Genomic DNA, 21,524 nt, shown 5'->3' with positions numbered 1-21,524 from the left:
CACCTCTACACTGAGGCCACCATTTGTCATCAGGCATAGGGGAGCACAAAGCCACGCCTGGGGAGTCTGGTGGGTGCCAGGGGTCTGGGGAGGTGTCAGTCAGCAAGACTGGGTGGCCCAGTCGGCCCAGGTAAGGACACAGGTGGGTCAGAGGCTCATCTGTGTTCCCCAGCATCCCCTAGGGGCCCTTTGCGCTCCTCCACCCTTCTCCATCCTTCCCAGACTCACATCCAGGTACCCTGGACAGCCACAGGGTTCTGCCCCCCAGTAGGCCTGGCCCTCCCTGGAGCATCACCTGGATAGCTGGCCATGGGCAGGCCTTGCCTGGCCCGTCTGCAGGGACAGGACACGTGTATGCATGCAGATTGGTACTGTGTGCCCGCACGCTCCCCAGAGGCCCTGTGGCAGCACCCTCTTCCCGCTGCTGCCCTTTTCCAACAGGAGGGCCCCCCACAGCGTCTCCTTCCCTGATACTGGCCGAATCCTGAATTCTCCCTCTGGAAGGCGGACCCTCCGGGGTGGCCACAGCACGTGCGTGCCTCCGGGAGTGTGGGAGGCGTCTCTCCCTGCATCCCTGGCCGTCAGACCACCCCAGGTGGGGACCGTTCTCTGGCATTGCCCGCCCCTCCCCTGCCCTAGGATTTGCCCACTACGTGAGGAATGAGCACCGACCTCCTATTCTGGGCCTTGGAGCGTGACGCCCGCAAACTCGATCCCTGCTGAGTCATCCTGACCTCGGGGTGGGCCAGCATCTGTCACTACTGAGACACTGTATGTGTGAGCTGCTTGTTAACGAGAAAGCCAGACTCTGTAAAATGTTTGAAGAGATTTATCCGGAGTCAAATGTGAGGACCAAGGCCTGGAGGCCCTGAGGACATGTGCCCCAGGGGGTGGGCCACAGCTGGAGTTCATACCTCCTACAAGGACAGAAGTTACAGGCAGACATCAGTCAGTACATGAAAGGTATTTGTTGGTTCTGCCGAGAAAGGCGGGACAACTCCAAGGCGGGGATGGGCTTCCTGGTCACAGGTGGGTTCGAAGATTTCCTTTTTCTTTATATATATATGTGTGTGTGTGTGTGTGTGTGTGTGTGTGTGTGTGTGTGTGTGTGTGTGTGTGTGTGTATTTTTTTTTTTTTTTGAGATGCTTTTGTTACTCGGGCTGGAGTGCAGTGGTATGATCTCAGTTCACTGCAACCTCCGCCTCCTGGGTTCAAGTGATTCTCCTGCCTTAGCTTCCCGAGTAGCTGGGACTACAGGCATGCACCACCATGCCCAGCTAATTTTGTGTTTTTAGTAGAGACGGGGGTTTCACCATGTTGGTCAGGCTGGTTTCGAACTCTTGATCTCAGGTGATCCGCCCACCTTGGCTTCCCAAAGTGCTGGGATTACAGGTGTGAGCCACCGTGCCTGGCAAAAGATTTTCTGATTCACAATTGGTTGAAAGAGTTATTAGCTAAAGACCTGGTATCAATAGAAAGGAGTATCTGGGTAAGACAGGAGGTTGTGGAGACGAATATTGTGTTTTGTTTTGTTTTGTTTTGTTTTGTTTTTGTCACCCAGGCTGGAGTGCAGTGGCATGATCTCAGCTCACTGCAACCCGGTTCAAGCGATTCTCCTGCCTCAGCCTCGCAAGTAGCTGGGATTGCAGGTGCCTGCCGCCACCATGCCTGGCTAATTTTGTATTTTTAGTAGAGATGGGGTTTCTCCATGTTGGTCGGGCTGGTCTCGAACTCCTGACCTCGTGATCTGCCCACCTCAGCCTCCCAAAGTGCTGGGATTACAGGCATGAGCCACTGAGCCAGGCCAAGATCTGTGTTTGAGTGTTAGTGCTGGTCCGCTGTACCTGAATTCCAGAGGGAGGGGGTATAACAAGGCCTGTGTGACCCCCTCTTCCCATCGTGACCTGAGCTCGTTTTTCAGGTTAACTTTGGAATATCCCTTTGGCAATAGGAGGGGTCCCTTTAGTCAGTTACGGGGCTTAGAATTTTATTTTTGGTGTACGTGCTCAAACTGCAGCTGCTACAAAACCAAGGCCATGGTGACCCCGGGGCCAGTCCAGCTTTGTCCCTGTGCTCTCGAGCTGCTGGAGGCCAATGCAGGATTCTGTCCACGGCTCTCATGTGTGGCTTCAGAGCCTGAGGGTTCTTGGGGCCCTGTCTTCACCTGCTACCGTGTAGGGGCCTTGTGAGCTGAGTCAACTGGAAGAGCCCAGGGCCTCTGCAGAAGGCCTGAGCAGGGCCCGGGCACTGTCCCTGGAGCTCTGAGTCCCTCAAGCTGTGTGGCCCGGAGCCAGGCGCTTGACTTCTCTGGTCGTTTGCTTCAGAGCTGGAAGCCTGGGGTGACGTGGGTCTTTGGCAGGGGTCAGGTAGGGGAGGGGCCAGCCAGGAATCAAACATCCCTGACAGGTGAGGGGGCAGGTGAGGAGGGCAGGGCAGGAGCCCCTGGAGCACTTGTGCAGCAGCATCTGGGCCGGTGCAAGCCCTGAGATGGCTTCAGGTCCTGCTCAGAGCTAAGGGCTCCCCGTCACCAGGGATTCTTCCATCACTGCATCTGCAGAGCCCATCGGGATTGGGGAGAGGCCCTGGCCTTAGCTTGGAACAGCTGCATCCTCCTGTCGGGTGTACAGGCTGTGCACTGGTTAAGCCTGAGCGCAGAGTCTGTTCAACGAGTTCATTGTGTGGTATTTGCTTCCGCTTGCTGTTGAGTTGGACTGGCTTGGACGCTGGCCAGGAGCCCAAGTGGACTTGGTGCTTCTCTTTGACAGCCGGGATTGAAAATCCCAGTCAAGTGGCCAGAGCACGAGGGTGAGATTTAGGAGACCTGGATGTCCTCACTTTGCCGCCCAGGAACTGCTGTGTGACTTTCACCAAGTGGGACAACCTCTCTGAACTACGTTTACCCCGGCTATAAAATGGAGGTGTTGGATTGGCTGCCACAAGTGTCCTTCCACCTCCACAATACCGTGACTGGAGCGGGTTTTCACTCCTTTTTCTTGTTAGCATAACTGTTGGAGCTGTAGAGGGTTTGGAGTGGGGCGTGGGTTTCCGGACCACAGATGTGTGAGGCTCCGCACTTAGCCAGCAGTGGCAACTCCTTATCACTGGTGCCCACGGCTTCATCTGTGCCCTGAAGATACTCATGCTGCGGTGACTGGTCAGATTAATGGTGATGCTTTCATGGGGCGCCGTAAGACACGTCCGCGAGGTATTTCGCCCATGCAGCAGGAGGCAGTTGTTCCAGTCTGTTGGAAACAGGAAAGGGAGGCTCAGTCCCTGCAAAGGAACTTGCCGGAGTTCACACAGCATTTCAGCACCGGGTGGCCTGGTTTCAGAGTTTCAGAGGGAGCGGTGGCCCTTCCTGTCAGCCCTGGGGGTCTCCTGGAGTCAGGACCCTTGGGAAACCCAAATCCACCAGGACGCTTGTGTCAGGAGAACCTGACCACATGAGAAGCTGCCCTTTTCCAGTTCTCCTGCTTACCCTGGACTTGGGATGTTGGCAAATTTCAGAGCTTGCCAAATCTGCATCTTCCTGGCCTGTTTAAAATGAATGTGTCAGCCCCATTCTGGACAGCAGCTGACACCTCCTCCCCCGTGCCAGCCAGGACAGTGTGGTTGGGCGTAACTCAGCCCCGGTTAAAAATGGAAAAAAGTACAAAGACATGTGTTCAAGGGCTGGTGACAGAATTTGAAAATGTGACACCAGCCTGTTAGTAATTTGTTTTCACAGAAATCTGTTTCAACACTGAGCAGACAGGTGGGGCCAGGGCCTTGGGATCATCTCTCTGTTTGCCCAGGGACATCTGTATGTCCGGCCCAAAGGTGGGGCCTTGTGCTCTGCAGAGACTGGGCATCAAAATTGAGCCATTATAAGCAGACCATCCCGGCCAGGCGCGGTGGCTCACGCCTGTAATCCCAACACTTTGGGAGGCCAAGGTGGGCGGATCGCCTGAGGTCAGGAGTTCGAGACCAGCCCGGCCAACATGGTGAACGCTTGTCTCTACTAAAAATACAAAAATTAGGCCGGTGTGGTGGCAGGTGTCAGTAATCCCAGCTACTGAGGCAGGAGGCTGAGGCAGGAGAATCACTTGATCCCCAGAGGCGGAGGCTGCAGCTACTCGGGAGGTAGATGTGAGAGAATGGCTTGAACTCAGGAGGCGGAGGTTGCAGTGAGCCAAGATCGTACCACTGCACTCCAGCCTGGGCGACAAGAGCGAGACTTCGTCTCAAAAAAAAAAAAAATGTGAACGCTGCCTTTGCTTCCCTGCCCCGGAACTGCTTCATTTTCCTTGGGGTTTCCGGACCACTTTGACCTCTCTCTCTGGCCAGCAGTGGCAGGGAGGCAGGTGGATCTGGAGCCGGCATGGGCAGGCTTGGCATTCCAGCCCATTCTGGGGTGAGGTTGGCCTTGGGTGAGGACAGGGGTCACTGGGTCAGACACATTCATTTTCTGGAGCCCGGGGCGGTGACGTGTCCATCAGGGAAGCACGCGCCTGTGCTGGGGGCGCTCCCCAGGCCGGCAGCACCAGCCTCCCTGGGACCTTGTTCTGTGCAGATGTGTTGTCTCCATCTCCCGGACCTGCCTGATCAGAAGCTCTGGGTTTCCATCCGCCTCCCCCACCACTGCTTTTATAAGTTCCCCCGGGGGATGACACGGGAGATGGTGGGGGCTGTCTGTCGGTGGAGAAGGTGGAGGCTTGTACTCAGAGCAGGGGATATTTAGACTTGAAGGGGCCAGGGAGGAAGGTACTGGTTCTACTAAAGCCCCATGTGCACTGGGCAGCCACCAAGTTCGGGGCCCTGTGCGTACCGAGTGGATTCCGACAAAGAAGCTGTCTCAGGAGCCCCAGCCAGCTGCAGAGGGGGGCCCAAGCTCCAAGGCTGGGTGTCAGGTTTGCCAGGTGCTGGCTCCGCTAGGGGCCACAGGCTGCACTGGGCGGGACTGGGCTGGGCTGGTACCTGTGCCCGGTGTCGGGCCAGCTGTAGTTGCTGTGGTCAGCTGCCGCTCTCCGGCCCCGTGCGAACTGCTGTGCCCGGTGCACCCTGGGGGACCAGGCTGCCTGGGCTTCCTGGAACTGATGAAGCTGCCGGCCACTTCCTCTGTGCTGTCTCCAGCAGGCAGTTCTGGGTAAACAATCGTCATTTGCCTATAAAGCTGCACAGCTCACAGGCCTTGGACCATCTCTGCCCCAGCCCCAGCATTGGCCCTCTGGACAGACTCTGAAACCGTGCGCGGAACACAGCCTGTCATTACAGATGACTCCTGGAGGCAGTCCTCGGGGGCCTGGCAGGAGCACTTCTGTTTCTGTTGGGTCTGAAAATGACAGAAGGGACTGCAGGATGCCTGCCTGGGCTGGACGCCTGCCTGGGGCACTCACAGTGGCTGTGTTTGGGCTCGAAGGGGCCCGGGAGGATCATGTTCACTGGGTACTCCCACTTACAGACAGGCCAAGGTGCTGAGCCCTGCAGGACTCACTGCTGTGCCTGGCTCGGGGGCAGGTGAGGACCGGCGGCCCAGGGAGCAGCCTCTGTGGCCAACAGAGAGGATTTTCATTGTGGCTGACCCTGAACCCTATCCACGGATGCTCCTGTACCTGGTACATGTTTATTACCTGAAAGAATCAGGCATTAGTCCGTGTGGGGTGGGTTCATGGGGCCTGCGGGGTCCCCACCCAGCCGGGGCCCACAGGTCCCACCTGCTCTCCATATTGAACACACCTGTTACTGGCCCTTCCCCCACCCCTCTCCTCCAACACTGGACCCTGGGGGATCATCCCTTTGCTTGTAGCGGGATTTTATCAGGAGCTGGACAGAGTTGGGGCCAGGAGACCAAGATGCCAGCATCAGGGGAGGTGAGCAGAGCCGGCTGCCGCAGAGGTGAGCGTTCACGGGCATCAGGCAGGGAGGCACCTCAGAGAGTCATCCCCCCGAGGGGAGAGGGGTAAGGCCAGGGGCCAGGAGAAGGCAGCCTCCTGGTTTACAAGTTGTGGGGGTGCTGTGCGTGTGTGTGCACGTGTGTGATTGAGCAGAGTTGGGGGGTCAGCCAGCGGTATGCACCTGTCCCGTCTGTGGGCCCAGCCAGCAGTATGCACCTGTCCCGTCTGTGGGCCCTCCCTGTTCAGGTGCCTTCTTGCATGGTCTCTGAGGTCAGTATCACTGCCGGCCCCACCCCAGAGATGGGGAGGCACAAGGGGGTGGGGGTGTCCCCCACCTCATGCTGGGTGGTGGCAACCTCCCCGGGACGCCCCAGCTCTGAGCAGCAGGGCACGTGGCGAGAGCAGTGGGAGGCCTTGGTGCCCACCCCAGGGTCCTGAGGAGAAATGGGCTGGCCGCGTCCCCAATCCCTCCTGCGTGAGCCTCAGGGTATCTGAAGTGGCTTTTGAGTCAGGACCAGGACCACAGCTTGGGCCTCACTGTGACAGGTGTCCTGGCCAAGGCCCTGGCGCTGGCTCTGGGTATGGCCAGGGCTGTCCTTCCTTCACCGGGCTGTGGGCCTTGCTGTCAATGCCCACCCGAAGATGAGGATGTTTCTGTGGCTGATGGCCCTGAAGGGTGGTGGAGACACAGGTGAAGGGAGGAGGAGGGCAGGGGTTCCTCCAATGCACTGCCCCCAAGGCACCCCAGCTCCTCTGGAGCCCCTGCCAGCCAGCCAGGTGGGAGGCAGCCAGGTGAGGACGGGGAAGACAGCACCCCAGACTGGGAGGGGCCCCCAGCTCAGCCTGCCCGGCTATCTGCCAATCAAGCCAAGCCACGCCACGGGGTATCCCCGGACGGGTTTTATCTCCTGGCCCAGCTGTCCCCGCAGGCTGGCGCGGCCACACTTATCTGGGGGTGGCTGGCCCTGTGTGCTCAGCCCCCTCACTCTGACTCAGGGCACAGCCCTGTCGATCTCCCTGCTGTGGGGGCAGCCAGCAGCCCCTCCATGGTGTGGACACTGAGGCTTGGGAGAGGGCAAGTGCCAGCAGGGACTGAGGTTCAAACCCCAGACTTATCCTGTGACTGCCTCGCCTCCTTAAGGTCGAAAGGTACTGAACCCAGATGAATTCATGTATTTGTTTAAGATTTTATCTCATCTTAAAACGTAAAAAAAAGGACACTGTGGAGAATAATGAAACCTTTGTTTACTCATCACCCAAAGTCAGTGAACATGAAAATTTATGTTCTTGTTATAAAAGGAATAAATATAAGGTCCCCTTTGTTCTATGGCCATTTTGCTCCCCACCTGACTTCAAGACCCGGCCCCCGCCTGTCTGTCCTGTGGTTATTTCCAACGTCAGGAGATGATCTGGTGAACCCTCCCGGTGGCACCCGTCAGCCCCTCCAGACTGTTTTTGGTTGGGGAGCGGCTGGGTTGGAACTGGGCAGGCAGGGTCAGGCTGGCGGTGGGGGGGGGGGCGGGGGGGTCCTGGCCTCTGTCCCACCCACAGTGACAGCCCTGATGGCGTCATTACCCAGCACCACGTCAGTGTGGCAGGACAGCCCGTGGTTGGGCAATTCTGGGCAACTCGCTGCCCTTCCTGGACCCCCCAACCCCCTAGCAGACGTGACAGCCGCAGACGTGACAGCCGCGAGGGCAGTGCTCAGTGTCTCCGCAGCGCCTGTCTGGTGTCTGGAGTTCAGTGGTGGCAGCGTGCCTCTCTCCCTTTTGGGGAGAGGCAGCCTCGAGTGCGGCTTGGCCACACCCACTCCCCGCCTCCCTCCGGGCATGAATGAGCGAGTGATGCAATCAGCCGGCCTCTTGCGAATCCAGAAAGCTCTCCAGAAGCCGGCTAGGTCCCCGAGGCTCAGTTTCTTTTATGGTCGTGCTCCCCCCAACCATAAGGAAATGGGACTGGCAAGCCAGGACCTGCCCCTTGCCCTGTGCAGCGGACAAGGAGCTGCCTAGACCCACTGACCTGACCCTGCTGAGCCCTGAGGGTTGGACTGGAGAGCTCTGGACTGGTAACATCTCCATGTCCCTGGGAGCCCTGGGAAGAGGTGAAGAATCACCTCTTCAGTTTGGGTGAGGAGTGGAAGTTCCGGAATTTCAAGTATTTTATTTTAGGAATAGCAGCGAAAACACTGACTTTCAGACATTTTTCAACCAGACTTTCCTGGTGTGTAGTAGCCGTCTCCGCTCTGGCATCCACAGAATTGTAGCGGGGTGGTTAATTTCTGAGAGATAGGCAGGCGGCAGCCCGTCCCGCACCTCAGGACGTTTCCGGTGTCATTAGTTAATTAGCATGGATGTCTTTCCTCGGGGTCTGTTGCTTACATTGTAAGATTCCACAGGATTTGTTCAGCTGGGGAAAAGCCACTGGAGTCCTCAAGGCCTTGGCTGGCCAGACCTTTCTGAGCGTTACTCCCAAGGGGAAAGAGAGAAGAGGAGCCCACGGCCTTTCTGATGCTCTCACCTTCCTGCAGTCTTAGTGGTGCGGTGCCGGGAGGGCTGTGAGATCTGAGCTGTGTGGGTGGCCCGTGCTGGGCCTTTGCCCACTTCTGGGGTGTAGACGTTCCCACTGGCAGATTTCAAGCTGCTGACAGCGACAGATAACCTCGTGAGCAGAGGAGTGAAGGGTAGTGCAGCAGGCAGTGAGGGGTGTCGTGGAGTCAGTGCCTCGGGATTAATATGATTTTACTTCATTTTAAGTTGTGGGGGTGGCTGTTTCCCCACCAGCTCACAGATCCCTGAATAGTGGCTCAGCGTGCGCACATATTGCAACAGAACCCCCCAAAACACACACACACACGCACACACACACAGTGGCTCAGCGTGCCTATATATTGCAACAGAACCCCCAACACACACACACACACACACACACACACACACACACACACACACACACAGAGGCTCAGAGCTGGGTGCCTTACAGGGCCCAGGAGGACGTGCTGGTGTCTGGAGACCTGTCTGAGCGTGCCTGACCCCACATCTCAGCGCCTCCTGGGGCAGGCGTTCTGGCCATCTGTGTGGGGTCACTCAGGCTTCTGAAGCACACGGTGCTATTTTGGGTTTCATCGTATGCCCCCAAAGCAGCAGGGCAGCAGGGTCTGCTCTGCTCACCACAGGCCCCTGTGGCCCCTCCCAGGCTGCCGTCCCCAGGTGACTGGCCAGGTAGTTCCGGGAAAGCGGGACACCCCACTTCTGTTGGAATCCACAGAAGATCCTCTTTGAGGAAAGGGCCCCGCCCTCATGGAGTCCGGCAGTCGGGCTGTGCGTGGGTCTCACAGTCAGGTCAGGGTGCTGAGTAGGTACAAAAAGGTGTAATGGGCGCCTTCCAAGTGGCAGGGTCACCTTGCTCACCTGGGTCTCTGGAGGCAGTGACCCCACTTGAAGTCCTGACTACAGGTGGGACTCCATGGCCTGGTGTGGTGGGGGGTGAGGAAAGGTCCCTTGCAGATCTTAAGGGGCACCTGGGATCCAGCCCTTAGACCTGAAAGGACTGCGAAGTTTATCAAAACAGGTCTCAGAAAGTCAGAACGTGCCCTAAGGGCTGGCAGGGGACTGGAGCTGTTTAAGGAGCTTGTTTTTCTGGTGGACCTGGCCCTGGGGTGGGGGTGGGGTCGTCACCTCCCAGCCTACCCCTGAGCTGGCGTCTGTCTGCCCGTGGAACTCACCGCTGCCCTCTGTCTCCACAGTGCTGCTCACGGCCGTGAACTGCTACAGCGTGAAGGCCGCCACCCGGGTCCAGGATGCCTTTGCCGCCGCCAAGCTCCTGGCCCTGGCCCTGATCATCCTGCTGGGCTTCGTCCAGATCGGGAAGGGTGAGTACGTCCCCCAGGCCCCACCGGCGGCCCCTCGAGGCTTTGCCTGTGTGTCCTTCACAGGGCATGAGGTCCCGTCCCCGGGTGCCTCCCAGTCCGCAGCTCTGCAGTGCTGTACAACGTGGAGATTTCCCTCTGGGAAAATCACCCAGCAAGTGAAATCCGACCCAGAGGGGGACACAGGAGTGCTCCCGTGGGACAGCGTGGCCACCACTGGGAGGGGCTCTGGCAGTTTTTCTTGTTTTTTACGCTGCGATGTCTGTGAATCTTGAGAGCCCAGCTGATGCGTTGTAACCTCACCTGGGGGCGATGTGGAACATTCCAGGCCTGGCAGGGGCTATGCCTGCCATGCAGACCTCACCCGAGCCATCTCACCCTGGGTCTGTCAGAGTCCCACGTGCTGTCGCCCCTCACCCACCCCCGACGGGGCCATGCTCCTGGTCATGCTGTGATTCATTCATCATTCCATGGGCAGGTGTGGGATTGTCTCTGTGTTTCTGTCTGCTTTTTAAAGAAGATGAGGTAAGCATGGAAAACAAAACAAACGTGGTAACCCCATCACTCAGACGTGTCCACTGTTAGCATTCGGGAACAGGTGAGAGCAGTCTGGCGCACAGGTTTTAAGGCTGGCTGGCCCAGACTTTGGTCTTGTGCTGTGTGATCTTGGGGAAATCACTGATTCTGAGCCTTTTTCCCAGCTGCTTTTTCTCTTGGGGCTGGTAGAAGGAATAAAGAGAGTGAGTGTGAAACAGCCCCCGCCCCTTTGCACCTGTGTTCTCTGTTGACGTGGACTGACACAGTTGGTATTTTGCTGGGTGTCTCTGGACCCTTTAACACACACTCCATAGATCTGTGTTCTGTGTCTGCCTGCAGAGCCTCCACCCTTTCCACACTGCCATTCCGCGGTGAGGTCGGGCTGGGGTTTCATAAGCAGTTCCCATTTGTGTGGTCACAGACCCTGGGACACACTGTCCTTGGCACTGGATCCCACCCGTGGTTGGGTACAGTTGAAGTGGGGGGCCCTGTTGCTTGAGTCCAGCAGGGATGCCTCTGTCTGCAGTTCCTTCTGAGTTTGTCTCCATCCATGTTGGAGCCAGCCTAGGAGCAGAGCAGTTAGGAGCTGGCCTCCTTCTCTTCTCTCCCAGAGCCTCAGGTAGAGATGATCCCAGTCCTGGAGCTGTGGAGCTTTCGCTGAGTGCAGGCACCCGGCGGATGCACGCTCTGGTGACTCGCAGTCACCGATGGCTGCAGAGAGGCTGCCTGGTCCCACATGGCTGTAGGGGAGGCAGGTAGGACCCCAGGGCTGCAGAGGACAGGGCAAGGACCTTGCTCCTAGAGGCAGGAAGGTCCTCACCCAGCAAGCTGTGAGCTGCCCCGCCCCCATGCACGGCCAGGCCAAAACATGCAGACACAAGGACGCTGCCTCCTCCTGTGTGGGGCCCTGCCTCAGGGCTGGGAGGCTCTCCTGTGTGCACCGTGCCACTGGTGGGCTGTGAACTGAACAGTGCCCCGCAGCACCCAGCACCCAGCACGCAGCTTTAGCTGAGCCTCCGCCTTGCTCCTGGCGCCCCCTGCTGGCTGTACGTGGCACTTCGCCTTAGGACAAAGTCTGGCTGCAGCTGGGGAGGGGTCTCCACACCAAGCAGGTAACCTGGGCCTGCAGGGGGATGCAGTGCCGGGCTATACTGACCTCACCACAGCGAGGCGAGCTCCAGGGGCTGGGGCCAGACTGTCTTTATCAAATGTATCAATCTGTACAAAGTCTGCAGCAGGTGTTAGTTACCTGCCTCATCGTCGAGGGGAAGTCCCACTTGATTCCCAGGTGGCTCTGGAAGGTTGCCCAGGTCAATCCTTCAGGAGCTCGAGCCCATCCCCCATGCATGTGTCTGACCAGGGATTCTCAGAGTCGCCCGGGGTACCAGAGCCACCCAAGAGCTGGCAGGACAGGGCTGGCAGGAAGTCCCAATTCTGAACCTTCCTGGGACCTCAGGTTCCGGCACCTTACTCAAGGCAAGACGAGCTCATTCCATGGCTCCCGGGCACTCAGAAGTTGCCCAGGGAGGTGGTTGGGCCTGAGTGACATTTTACGGGCAGGAGACAAATCCATCCTGTGCCTCCCAGAAGTGGGCACGGAAGGGGTGCTTTGCTCGTGAAGGCCTTTGCTTGGCTGCGCTCATCAGATAGCCAGGAAAGATTTAGGAGGGGAACGTGATTTTTGTAAAAACAAATTTCGGTAGGGAGAGCAAAGAGCTTTTGTTCGACTTGAATACATAATAGGTTTATAATTCCGTTAGCTGTTGAAAGCGTCCTCCCACCGTGCTCCCCCCAGCAATTCCCTTCTGAGCTTTGGGATACAGTGCAGTGTCTGCAGAATTCCTGTCTCCTGTTTGGCTTCAACAGATTTATTTTGTTACCAGATGAATGCCTTGCTTTTAGAAGATACATTGTGTTGACCCCTTTCTCCCAAAGCAGTTGTCCAACTTTATACCCCCCAGTGGACGCAAAGCCCTTGGGCAGCTGCCCCCTCCCCTCGCTGGCACCTGGCAGCAGCGCCCCCAGATACTTCAAGGCAGAGACTCCGGCCTCAATTTTGCAACGACTGGCAAGTGGCCCTTTCCGGGTCTGGAGAATGCAGCGAAAATCTGGCAGAGCAGGCCTGGCCCACGCACCTGTTCCTGCCTGTCCCGCACCCTGGGTGCCCTGCTCCATTGGGGCTGAAAAGGCTCCTCCTTGCTGCCCTTGGCCCCCAGGTGGGCCCTGTGCTATGGAAAGGCACTGGCCCTAGGGTCCTGTAGGCCTTGGCTGACCTGTTTCCTCCTCGTCAGGGAAGTTTGTAATCACCCCTTCCCAGTTGGCCATCCGCAGAACCATCTTCTGTCCCGTGTGCCGCATCTATGCCGGGTCCCAATGAGAACATGGCCCCGCATCCAGAGCTCATGGGGGGACCTGAGAGCCATAGGCACGTGAATGGGAGAGTCGCAGTGGGGAATAAGCGGGGCCCTGGTGCAGACCAGAAAAGCCCTTCTGAGGGGTTGGGCCTTTCCTGAGATGCGGGCTGGGAGGGGCAGCTGGCTGAGTGACAGGGGCGACTCTGCAGGGGCCTGAGTGGTCGGGAGCCCTTGCCTCCTCCGCGTCTTGGGGGAGTCATGGCTGCCCCTAGGCTGGGGCATGGGGACACGCAGGCTTAGGTGTCACATGAGGTTCTACAGTTAGTCCCAGCCTTTTCGAAAGGGAGACAGTACTCATGAGGGTTCAGATCTGACCCACCGTCCCATGAGTCCACTCGCAGGCTGTTGCCTAAGGAGAGGGTGGCTGGGCCTTCGCCTGCAGGGCGGAGGGTGGGAGCGAGGGCACAGGCTCTGCCGTCCCAGCCCAGCAGCAGCAGCACGTCCCTCCTGGAGGACACAATGGGGCGCTTTGTGCTTTGCTTGGGCTGCAGCCGTCAGCGGCAGAACAAACTAATCTCTCCTTGAACAGTTACAGATTGGATAGTTGGGCAGATTTAAAAAAAAGGTTGCATAAAAACTTTCTTTTCCTTCTCCTCCCACATTGTACTGTTGGAGGTCAGTATTCCCCTGGAGCAAATTTGCCCTTTCACTCTGTCCACAAAAAGGAAAGAAAGCCGCAGCCTGCCAGGGCGGCGTGCCTCTTGCTGTCCTTCACCCCAGGAGGGGAAAATGCTTCCCCTGGGCAGGGCTCAGACCCCGGCTGAATGGCTTTGCTGAGCTGCTGGGCCCTGGGTCCCGGTGGCCGAGACCCCTGGATGTGACCTACACCTATGAGTAGGGCACTTCTGGACGGTCCCGTGTCCCAGGCGGTAAATACGTGTGTGCCACTGGGCTGTGGGGCAGGGGCCTGCATTTGTGTGTCACGTGACAGTTTTGAAATGATGGTTTTCCTTTGGTTCTTCAGCTAGTAGGGCCCCTTAGACTCAGAGAAGTGGGGTGCCCTGCCCCAGGTCCCACAGCCGTGAGCAGTGGGCAGGTCCCTCCCCACCCCCACTGTGACCCTGGGTGCAGTGTGCAGGGTCATGCGCTGCTGGGGGGAGGCCCACACCTCTGTTCCCAAGGTGCGTTCGGGTGGACAGCACTGGGCCCATCTGCTCTTGGGAGGTTCACGTGGGGTGTCATGTGTTACGGGAAAAGCTGACGGGACAGTTCCTGAGTAACACGTCCATCCTGAGAGGGTGGAGGTCTGGAGGACATTCCTTTTCAGACTGGTCTCTGAGCTTCACTGAGCTTCCTTGAAGGCAGCCCCCTGAGCCCCTCCCGATGTCCCTCCTGAGGAGCTTCCTGGAGGAAGAGGTGCCGCCTCCCTCATCTGGCCCTCATCTGGCTGGGGGTGTGCGGCCCTGTCTTGGTCTCCTCTTCCTGTGGGTGGGGGCGTCCAGCCCCCAGACGATGTTTCTGACAAAGGCCCCCTCAGTGGTCACAGCACATGCCCAGCTGCTGGGCTGTTCTGGTGAGAAAAACGTTTCACCCACACCTTGGCTGTCTGTGGCTCTGGGGTGTGGAGGGGTCGCCTCGTGGACTGAGAAGCCCCCCTGGGCTGTGGCTTAGAGCTGTTCCTTCTTCTGGGCCTGGCTTCACCTGAGTGTGTGCGTGGACCCATAGCTGGGCTTCTAGGCGCTCCCAGCAGAGCTCAGCCCAGCCTGCTCTCCGAACCCCAGATCAGGACTGTGGGCTTCTAGGGTGCCCTCCCGGAGAGAGGGCAAGGGCAGGTGCTAGATGTGCAGCTGCCTTGGGATTCTAGTTTTGCCGCCCCCCGGCCAGGGTGTCTGAGCCTCGGTGTCTTCCCCTGGGAAATGGGCTGTCCTCCCTTGCAGGGAGGAGGCCAGGCTCACCGCGTCCCCGGCACGGGAGCCACTGCCATGCAGGGTCCAACAGCCCCTTTTCCTCACCTCACGCCCTGACTGCCGCTTTCTCCGGGGGTGACAGCAAGAGCGGAGCAGGCCTGGGTGGGTGGGTCTCAGCTTCAGAGGGTCTGGTGCCAGGGCCCTGCTACCTGGATGCCGGCGGGAGAGTCGGTGAGAGGCCCCGCCAGGCCAGGGACCCTGATGCCCTGGGCGGGGTGCTCGGCCTCCTGGCTCCTAGACACCCCCTCGCTGTGTTTCCTTGTGGGAGAGTGAGCTGTCTGGGGCCTCCTCTTGTGTGGACAAGGATCCTGTCAGATCAGGCCCCACCCTGAGGACCCCACTTACCCTTAATCTGTAGAGGCCCCATGTCCACGTACAGCCACACCGGGGTTAGGGCTTCCACGTCTGAGTTTTGGGGGACAGGATGGAGCTTCGGGCCCCGCTCTCCTGGCAGGAAATAGGGCAAGCCCCAGGGCCTCAAAGTGAATCCCAGCTGGGTACAGGCTGTGTTAACCAAGGGAGGAGTCGGCCACAGCTCGGCCTCGAGCTGCCAAAGCTCACTTTCCAGAGAAGCTTCCAGGCTGGCCTGCCTGTGGGGGACTCCAGGGCATCTCTCTGTGAGGCATCTCAGACAGTCTCAGGGTCATGCAGGGACAGACAGGACATTGCGCTCAGGAGCTCCCAGATTGGTGCCAGGCTCGAGTGTGGCTCCACTCCGGACAACCTGGGCCTGGAGCCAGGGCTGCGGCGTTGGCTGCCCCAAGGGTGGGTACTTCGCGACTCAGGGCACCTCTTTTGGGCCTCGAAGACCTCGCAGTTGATAAAGGATGCTTGACCCGCCGCTTGCTCTGGGAGCTCAGTGTGTCCTGGGCCTGCCATTCTTCTGTGCCGTCGGCCTCGGGAGGATGACAGGCTGGGGAAGCTGGGGCTCTGCCGGTGCCGTGTGCTGGGACAGAATCAAAGGACGGGAGCGGGGCTTGTTTTCCCGCGGCCTTCACCTCCCGGTGCCCTTCGTCAGACGCATGGACAGAGGCCAGGGCAGCCACAGCCCTGTGCTGGGGACAGTTCTCAGGGTCTTTCCCCGCCTGTGGAGTTGGAAAAAGCTTTTACTTCTGGTGTGAGGTTGGCAGCTCTAAGCAAAGGGCCCACTCCTTCATGAGTTTCCAAGACCGACAGACACTGCTGGTGGTCCAAAAGTGCCATCTGGTTGCCGCCAGAACCCCCAAACCCAAATTCCTGCCCCATCACGGTTCCCAGGCATTAGATGGCCAGAGCGAAACAGGCATCTGAAAAGCGGCGCCGTGGCCTAGGGTGGGCGTGGACTCCGTGGGGTGGGCGTGGACTCTGCCTGGAGTGGGCATGGACTCTGGGGTGGGCGTGGACTCTGTGGGGTGGGCGTGGACTCTGCCTGGAGTGGGCATGGACTCTGGGGTGGGCGTGGACTCTGTGGGGTGGGCATGGACTCTGGCCTGGGCTCTGGACTGAACCCATGTGGCGGTCACTGCACGACTTCCCTGAGCCCACAGGGCAGCTAGCTCCAGGGTGCTGACCACATGGGACTCACAGCCCCCTCTTAGATGAGGTGCCATTGGCTGTGCACTCGGCTGGTGACTGAGAAGTGGGGTGTGAGCTGCAGCTGTCCTGCCCCTGACCATGCCTGATGCACTGAGAAGCCGGGAGGTCTCCCCTGGGTGGCACGGTTGGCCCCTCATGTGTGGTGACAGATGCCTACAGACTGGCTTTAGCAACAGACATGCAGACGGTCCTGGTCCTGGCAGCCAGAGGTCCAGACCCAAGGTGCCACCTTCCCCTTCCAGCTGCCCGTGGCTCCAGGCATCCTGGGCTGGCTCTGGCTCTGTCTCCCCTGGATCTGTCTCTGTGTCGCTGAGGACACTTGTCGTCGGCCTTAGTGCCTACTCTAATCCGGGATGATCTCATCTCAAGGTCCTTCGCTAATTGCACCTGCGGAGACCGCATTTGCAGCTAGGACACATCCCGCAGCTCCACTGGACGTGAATTTTGGGGACACTGTTCAGCACACTCCACCTAGAGCCCCAAGGGGCCAGAGTGGTTGGAAGGCGGAAGGCCCCAGCACAGTGGAAAGTCCGCGCTTGAGGAGTGACTCTCTTGTCCCTGAGGTGTTTCCAGGGCTGGGGCAGGGGCCCGTCAGCCCTGAGGTTCCGGGATGCCCTCCATCTCCACATTCCCATGTTCCCCACGCTGGGCAGGCTCTTCTCTCCAGGGACACTGCGTTCATGGGGAGACATCGTCCTCTGAGTCAGGAGCCAGAGGCTTGGAGGGTTGGCCGCATCACAGAGGAGGGGGAAGATCCCGTTCCCACGTGCGTTTGGCCACTGGGGGCGTCCCTGGGCCCCGTCAGCAGGATGGCTTTAGCCACCGGCGGAGTCTCCCCTCCAGCCTCGGGGTGGATGGTTCCCATGGCCGCATCTGCCTGACTCAGGGATCAAGGCCACTTTTCCCTGAAATCATCTCCCCAGGGCCTTTGGAGCGCTCGTTCCCACCGCAATTACCCCGCTCTCGGGGGAATCCTGCTGACAGGGCTGCTGTGCCGGGGTCGCCGCGGCGTTTGCAGTTTGCCTTCCCCCCACCCGGGGTTTGGCTGTGCGTTTGCTTTCATGGCAGCTCCACCAGCCCCTGAGGAAGATGCCTCTTAGGGACAAGGAAGGGGCTGGAGGGCCCCACTCAGGCTCTGCGCTGAGTCTGTTCTCGCGTCTCTGTGGGCTCTGGCAGATGTCACCGTCTGTCCACGGTGATTCTCTTCCTCACTTCCCTGTCACGCTGTCCCCTCCTTGTGGGTGGAGGCTGACTGGATAGCAGACTGTCAGGTGTGGAGGCTGGGTGGCTGCTGGATGAGTGGGCCGCTCAGCCATTCCTTCCAGTCCTGCCCAGTGCCTGGGGCTTCATGTCGAAGCCAGGACCACGCCCGAGTCTAGGGTCCATGGGAGAGAAAGCTGAGAGGAGCTGGTCCTGTCCTCCCGGCAGGGGTAGAGGCTCGTGGCTGATGCCTTGTCATGGTCTTCTTGCACAGGGCCTCAGCCTGGCACCTCTGCCACCGTGGGCTCTCTGTTGTGTGGGGGTGTCCCGTGCATTGCAGGACATCCAGCAGCATCCCCGGCCTCCTGCTCCGTGCCAGTAGCGCCGCACCCCGCCGTCGTGACAGCCCAGGTCTCCCGGTGTGCAGAATGCCCGCTGGTCATGCTGAGAGGTACAGGGGTGCTGCCCCCAGGGTTTGAACGCTGTCTAACTCCCACCTCTGGTGTGTCTCTCCCCTGTGTGTAGCGTGGAGTCACTGGATGAGTGTGGTGACCTCCCTGTGTCCAGCTGCCCTGGGCTGCAAGCAGGTCCCTCCTGCAGCCCTCCAGGCCACCCTTAAGCAGAGCTGGACCAGCCTGGCCAACATGGTGAAACCCCATCTCTACTAAAAATACAAAAATTAGCCAAGCGTGGTGGAACTCTGTCTCAAAAAAAAAAAAAAAAAAAAAAAAAAAAAAAAAAAAAAAGTTACTCAGGCCTTAGGGCTGCCAATATCTGGCTCCTGACTGAAGACCTCATACCATGTCAAGCCTCGGTATATTGTCCTTAGCAAAAGCAGCCACCCTCTGTGTAGGATCAGCCGCCTTTCTGTCATGAGGCTGGAGGTCAGCTATGAGGATTGATGTGTCTGGCGGGGACCTTGGACTGAGGCCTCCTGTCCATCAGCTCAGGCTGAGTCCGGGGGTGGTCACAGTGAATGGGGCACGTGTTTCTGGCCTCCAGGGCTCACCTTCACCCCCTCCCACCATGAGTGCCAGATGGGGGAGGCAGGACCTTGATTCTCAAGCAGCCTGGCAGGTCTGCATTCCCCCACTTGTAGGACAGATGCTCCCCCCAGCAGAAGTAAGTGGGCGAGACACAGTAGGGCTATGCAGATGTGAAGGGTCTGCACATTCCAGAACATTCCATCAGAGAGCAGATGGGAGAGAGGCCAGAGGGGCTGTGCCGAGGTGCTGTGCAAAGTGCCCTGTCCTGAGCTGCTCTGAGCTGCCCCCGCTCCAGGCCTGCAGAGTCAAGCTCCGCCTGCTGACCACCTGGTGACCAGAATACATCACACGCAGGCAGTGGGCCCTGGAGCTCCTTCTCAGGAGATCAAGGCCTCAGCAGGGCAGGGTGGCGGGCAGCCCTCAGGGAACCCACCAGCACCCCCAGTGTAGGCTGAAGATCAAAGGCCCCAGCACACCTGGCATCTGGGACAGACAGAGCTGGAGGCAGAGCCGCAGGCATCCAGCACGCCACGGGGAAGCAGGTGCAAAACAGGAACTGGGTCCACCCATCAGGAAGGGACCCCACCGTGGGCTCTGCCGTAGGAAATCTGGTGCCACCTTTGAAGTGCGCACTTTGTTTGGGGTAATTGCCAAGGTCTTATGGGAACCTCCCTTCACGGGTCCCCTTTGAAATTTGCTCACCTCGTCACTCTGCGGTGTTCCCTGGACCACCAAGGTGGTTCCCCTTCTTGGGCCCCCATGGTGACCTGTGGTCCAAGGCCACATGTTGGGACACAGCAGCCCCAGGGCCCGTCCCTGCCTGGCCCTGTGAGACGGGCTGGTGACTTTCCAGCAGGAAGGATACTGTCACACACGGTTCTCTAATGAACTAACAGTCCACAGCCTGACCAAGATTTCCACTTGTGCCTCCAGCTGTATATGCACCTGGCAGGTAGGCAGGAGGGGACCCGGCTCCTTTGTTCCGGTGGTGTCTTTGGTCTTCTTTCCAAGTTCTCCTTCCTGAAGCGCAGTGGTCTGTGAGACTGATGTCTGGGCAATATATTCCGGGCTCGAACACACCAGGCCCATTTCACAGAGGAGGCAACAGCCACAGAAAGGGCCAGTGCTGTCCCAGCAGCCACGTGACCTTCCGGAGACACCCCTTCCCCCAAAAGACATGTCCTCCTGGGGAACCTGTGAATGCTGGTGGCCTTATTTGGAAAAAGGGTCTTCGCAGATGTGACTGAAGTTCAAGTTTTGAAATGAGGTCCTTCTGGAATAGGGTGGAGCAGTCACGAAGTCCAGTGACGCGTGTCCTCAGAGGGCAAAGGAGAGAGCTCTGCACACAGCACGGGGATCGTTCTCGGCCCTGGCAGCCCTGCTCCTGCCCCTGCCCCGGCTGCAGCTGGCCACACACTCAGCACGGTCCAGGACAAACCTATGTTCTTGCCCAGGCCTGTCCTGCCAGCCCTGGAGGGAGGGCAGTCTGTTCCGAGCTCCTCGCACCCCAAGAAGCAGGGCCCTAGTGGCTCTGGGCCTTCCTTGTTGCCGTAGCCAGGATGCAAACCGAGGTCTCCTGGCTTTATACTGCCTTGACACTCATGTCGTGAGGTCTCAGGGAACCTTCTTGAAGGCAACTGGGGCTGGTTGACCCCTCCATCCTGACCTCCTGTAGACAAGCGTCTGAGGAGCCCTCCTGGGCAGTGGTCAGAACTGCCTGTGCCCTCTCAGGTGGGCACAGGGCCTCTGGCAGGGCCACATCCCCCTGGTTGTGGTTGGAACCCTGCACCCTCCATGTGGCTCAGCAGGTACATACCATTTGTCACAGTGAAAAGCCTTCACTCCAGCATTTTTGTTTGCTATGTATTTTGCTCCAGGAACATTCTAGAACTGGTAGCATGACCTCTGTTCAGCGCTCTCTAACCCAGCATTCCTTTCTTTGGCCCTGCCAGGTGATGTGTCCAATCTAGATCCCAACTTCTCATTTGAAGGCACCAAACTGGATGTGGGGAACATTGTGCTGGCATTATACAGCGGCCTCTTTGCCTATGGAGGATGGTAGGTTCTGGAATGTCTGGGTCCCTTGGTCTGGGGACATACAGTCCCTGACGTGTCCAGGAATCCCAAATCTCCCAGCCATCAAGGGGCAGTTAAAGGGAGTGGACTGCCCCTCCCTTTAACTGCCCCTTGGCAGTTAAAGAGTGGCAGGTGACCCTCCAGAGTCACCCACATCCCGACGAAGCGTGGGGAGGCCGCCCGCTGCAGCCCTACTCTGGCTCTAGCTCCACGTCGCAGTCTTGGCGAAGGTGGCAGGTGGAGGCGGCTGAGCCCTGCGGCCCCTTTCCTCCAGGTCCCCAGCCTGACTCCTGCGCTCAGGCGGGCCTCACAGGGACCTGAGAATCACCCCAGTAGGGCGAACAGGCAGGGAATGTGCGGGAGGGCCTGGAAGGGGTAGCAGGGACCCCCCGGAACACGCAGGAGGCTGAGCTCCCTCCCACTCCAGGTCCGCTTTCCAGCCCAGCGAGCAGACCACCGGGGGGCAGGCTCACCAGCTGCCCTGGGATGCTCTCTCCCCGGTGATTTATTTTCCCTGATGAGGATCATATAATTTGAACGCTGTTCTCTAAATTTTAGGAATTACTTGAATTTCGTCACAGAGGAAATGATCAACCCCTACAGGTACGTGCAAGAATGGATGGAGCCGTCTTTTTTCATTATTTTAATGTGAGGCAGGAAGCAGCCACATTCCACTCGAAGCCTGTTGGTCGGCTCAGGCCAGTTCACAGTCGGGCCGTGATTGGGGCCTCTGGGGCCAGCAGGATGTGGGGCGGGTGGCTTCTGGCCGTGTGTCCTTGAGCACGGTTTCTCCAGAGAACGGGTGGCAAGTGAGGGCCCCACTCAGGGCGGGACGGTACAGAGGAGCTGCCTGGGCTCTCGGCTCTGGTCCCCGGCTGTGCAGCTCGTGGGCAGAGCCTTAGAATTCAGACCAGGTGGCCTGACTTAACTCTCCTGAGCCCTTGAGGTCACCCCGAAGAATCCCCATTTCTCAGGTGGGGAAGCTGAGGCCGCGGCCAAGGCACCAGCCAGGGCTGTGCAGTGTCCCGCTCCAGGCACAGCCTCCTGCCGCCAGCCTGTGTTCTCTTGCTGCTTCCCACCTTCCCCGAGA

General features: G+C 58.8%; 1 protein-coding gene and 1 non-coding gene across 2 annotated transcripts in view, besides 12 other annotated features; one reads left to right on the top strand and one right to left on the bottom strand.

The window, feature by feature from the left end:
• Positions 1–21,524, top strand: part of SLC7A5 (solute carrier family 7 member 5) — a 39,485-nt gene that overhangs the window by 8,042 nt on the left and 9,919 nt on the right. Inside the window, exons 2-4 of the mRNA NM_003486.7 lie at positions 9,617–9,742; positions 20,311–20,416; positions 20,993–21,037. Coding sequence (NP_003477.4) covers positions 9,617–9,742; positions 20,311–20,416; positions 20,993–21,037 — 277 coding nt within the window. The remainder of the gene's footprint in view (positions 1–9,616; positions 9,743–20,310; positions 20,417–20,992; positions 21,038–21,524) is intronic.
• Positions 204–961: an enhancer, noted in NCBI's record as "H3K4me1 hESC enhancer chr16:87894111-87894868 (GRCh37/hg19 assembly coordinates)". NCBI's record gives its function as "activates a minimal SCP1, AML or CMV promoter by ChIP-STARR-seq in primed H9 embryonic stem cells {active_cell/tissue: H9 hESC(primed)}" and the evidence as "EXISTENCE:reporter gene assay evidence [ECO:0000049][PMID:30033119]".
• Positions 5,343–5,531: a silencer, noted in NCBI's record as "fragment chr16:87889541-87889729 (GRCh37/hg19 assembly coordinates)". NCBI's record gives its function as "represses an EF-1alpha promoter that drives an FKBP-Casp9 reporter gene in an ReSE screen in both phorbol 12-myristate 13-acetate-treated (for megakaryocytic differentiation) and untreated K562 erythroleukemia cells {active_cell/tissue: K562 | K562(+PMA)}" and the evidence as "EXISTENCE:reporter gene assay evidence [ECO:0000049][PMID:32094911]".
• Positions 6,654–7,559: an enhancer, noted in NCBI's record as "H3K27ac-H3K4me1 hESC enhancer chr16:87887513-87888418 (GRCh37/hg19 assembly coordinates)". NCBI's record gives its function as "activates a minimal SCP1, AML or CMV promoter by ChIP-STARR-seq in primed H9 embryonic stem cells {active_cell/tissue: H9 hESC(primed)}" and the evidence as "EXISTENCE:reporter gene assay evidence [ECO:0000049][PMID:30033119]".
• Positions 7,502–7,570, bottom strand: MIR11401 (microRNA 11401). The gene has a single exon (NR_162122.1). It is a non-coding gene; the product is annotated as a microRNA 11401 (primary transcript).
• Positions 7,560–8,467: an enhancer, noted in NCBI's record as "H3K27ac-H3K4me1 hESC enhancer chr16:87886605-87887512 (GRCh37/hg19 assembly coordinates)". NCBI's record gives its function as "activates a minimal SCP1, AML or CMV promoter by ChIP-STARR-seq in primed H9 embryonic stem cells {active_cell/tissue: H9 hESC(primed)}" and the evidence as "EXISTENCE:reporter gene assay evidence [ECO:0000049][PMID:30033119]".
• Positions 7,733–7,972: an enhancer, noted in NCBI's record as "active region_11341". NCBI's record gives its function as "activates an Ori minimal core promoter by ATAC-STARR-seq in GM12878 lymphoblastoid cells {active_cell/tissue: GM12878}" and the evidence as "EXISTENCE:reporter gene assay evidence [ECO:0000049][PMID:35858748]".
• Positions 8,468–9,373: an enhancer, noted in NCBI's record as "H3K27ac-H3K4me1 hESC enhancer chr16:87885699-87886604 (GRCh37/hg19 assembly coordinates)". NCBI's record gives its function as "activates a minimal SCP1, AML or CMV promoter by ChIP-STARR-seq in primed H9 embryonic stem cells {active_cell/tissue: H9 hESC(primed)}" and the evidence as "EXISTENCE:reporter gene assay evidence [ECO:0000049][PMID:30033119]".
• Positions 10,280–11,185: an enhancer, noted in NCBI's record as "H3K4me1 hESC enhancer chr16:87883887-87884792 (GRCh37/hg19 assembly coordinates)". NCBI's record gives its function as "activates a minimal SCP1, AML or CMV promoter by ChIP-STARR-seq in naive and primed H9 embryonic stem cells {active_cell/tissue: H9 hESC(naive and primed)}" and the evidence as "EXISTENCE:reporter gene assay evidence [ECO:0000049][PMID:30033119]".
• Positions 10,280–12,092: a biological region, named in NCBI's record as "hESC enhancers GRCh37_chr16:87882980-87883886 and GRCh37_chr16:87883887-87884792".
• Positions 11,029–11,323: an enhancer, noted in NCBI's record as "tiled region #10585; HepG2 Activating DNase matched - State 5:Enh, and K562 Activating DNase unmatched - State 25:Art". NCBI's record gives its function as "activates a minimal TATA promoter and a strong SV40 promoter by Sharpr-MPRA in HepG2 cells, with weaker activation in K562 cells {active_cell/tissue: HepG2 | K562}" and the evidence as "EXISTENCE:reporter gene assay evidence [ECO:0000049][PMID:27701403]".
• Positions 11,186–12,092: an enhancer, noted in NCBI's record as "H3K27ac-H3K4me1 hESC enhancer chr16:87882980-87883886 (GRCh37/hg19 assembly coordinates)". NCBI's record gives its function as "activates a minimal SCP1, AML or CMV promoter by ChIP-STARR-seq in naive H9 embryonic stem cells {active_cell/tissue: H9 hESC(naive)}" and the evidence as "EXISTENCE:reporter gene assay evidence [ECO:0000049][PMID:30033119]".
• Positions 17,050–17,977: an enhancer, noted in NCBI's record as "H3K4me1 hESC enhancer chr16:87877095-87878022 (GRCh37/hg19 assembly coordinates)". NCBI's record gives its function as "activates a minimal SCP1, AML or CMV promoter by ChIP-STARR-seq in primed H9 embryonic stem cells {active_cell/tissue: H9 hESC(primed)}" and the evidence as "EXISTENCE:reporter gene assay evidence [ECO:0000049][PMID:30033119]".
• Positions 19,009–19,303: a silencer, noted in NCBI's record as "tiled region #2373; K562 Repressive non-DNase unmatched - State 17:Gen3'". NCBI's record gives its function as "represses a minimal TATA promoter and a strong SV40 promoter by Sharpr-MPRA in K562 cells {active_cell/tissue: K562}" and the evidence as "EXISTENCE:reporter gene assay evidence [ECO:0000049][PMID:27701403]".

The sequence above is a fragment of the Homo sapiens genome, chromosome 16 (assembly GCF_000001405.40).
Source record: "Homo sapiens chromosome 16, GRCh38.p14 Primary Assembly".
NCBI lineage: Eukaryota > Metazoa > Chordata > Mammalia > Primates > Hominidae > Homo > Homo sapiens.
This window is presented reverse-complemented; position numbering and strand designations above follow the sequence as displayed.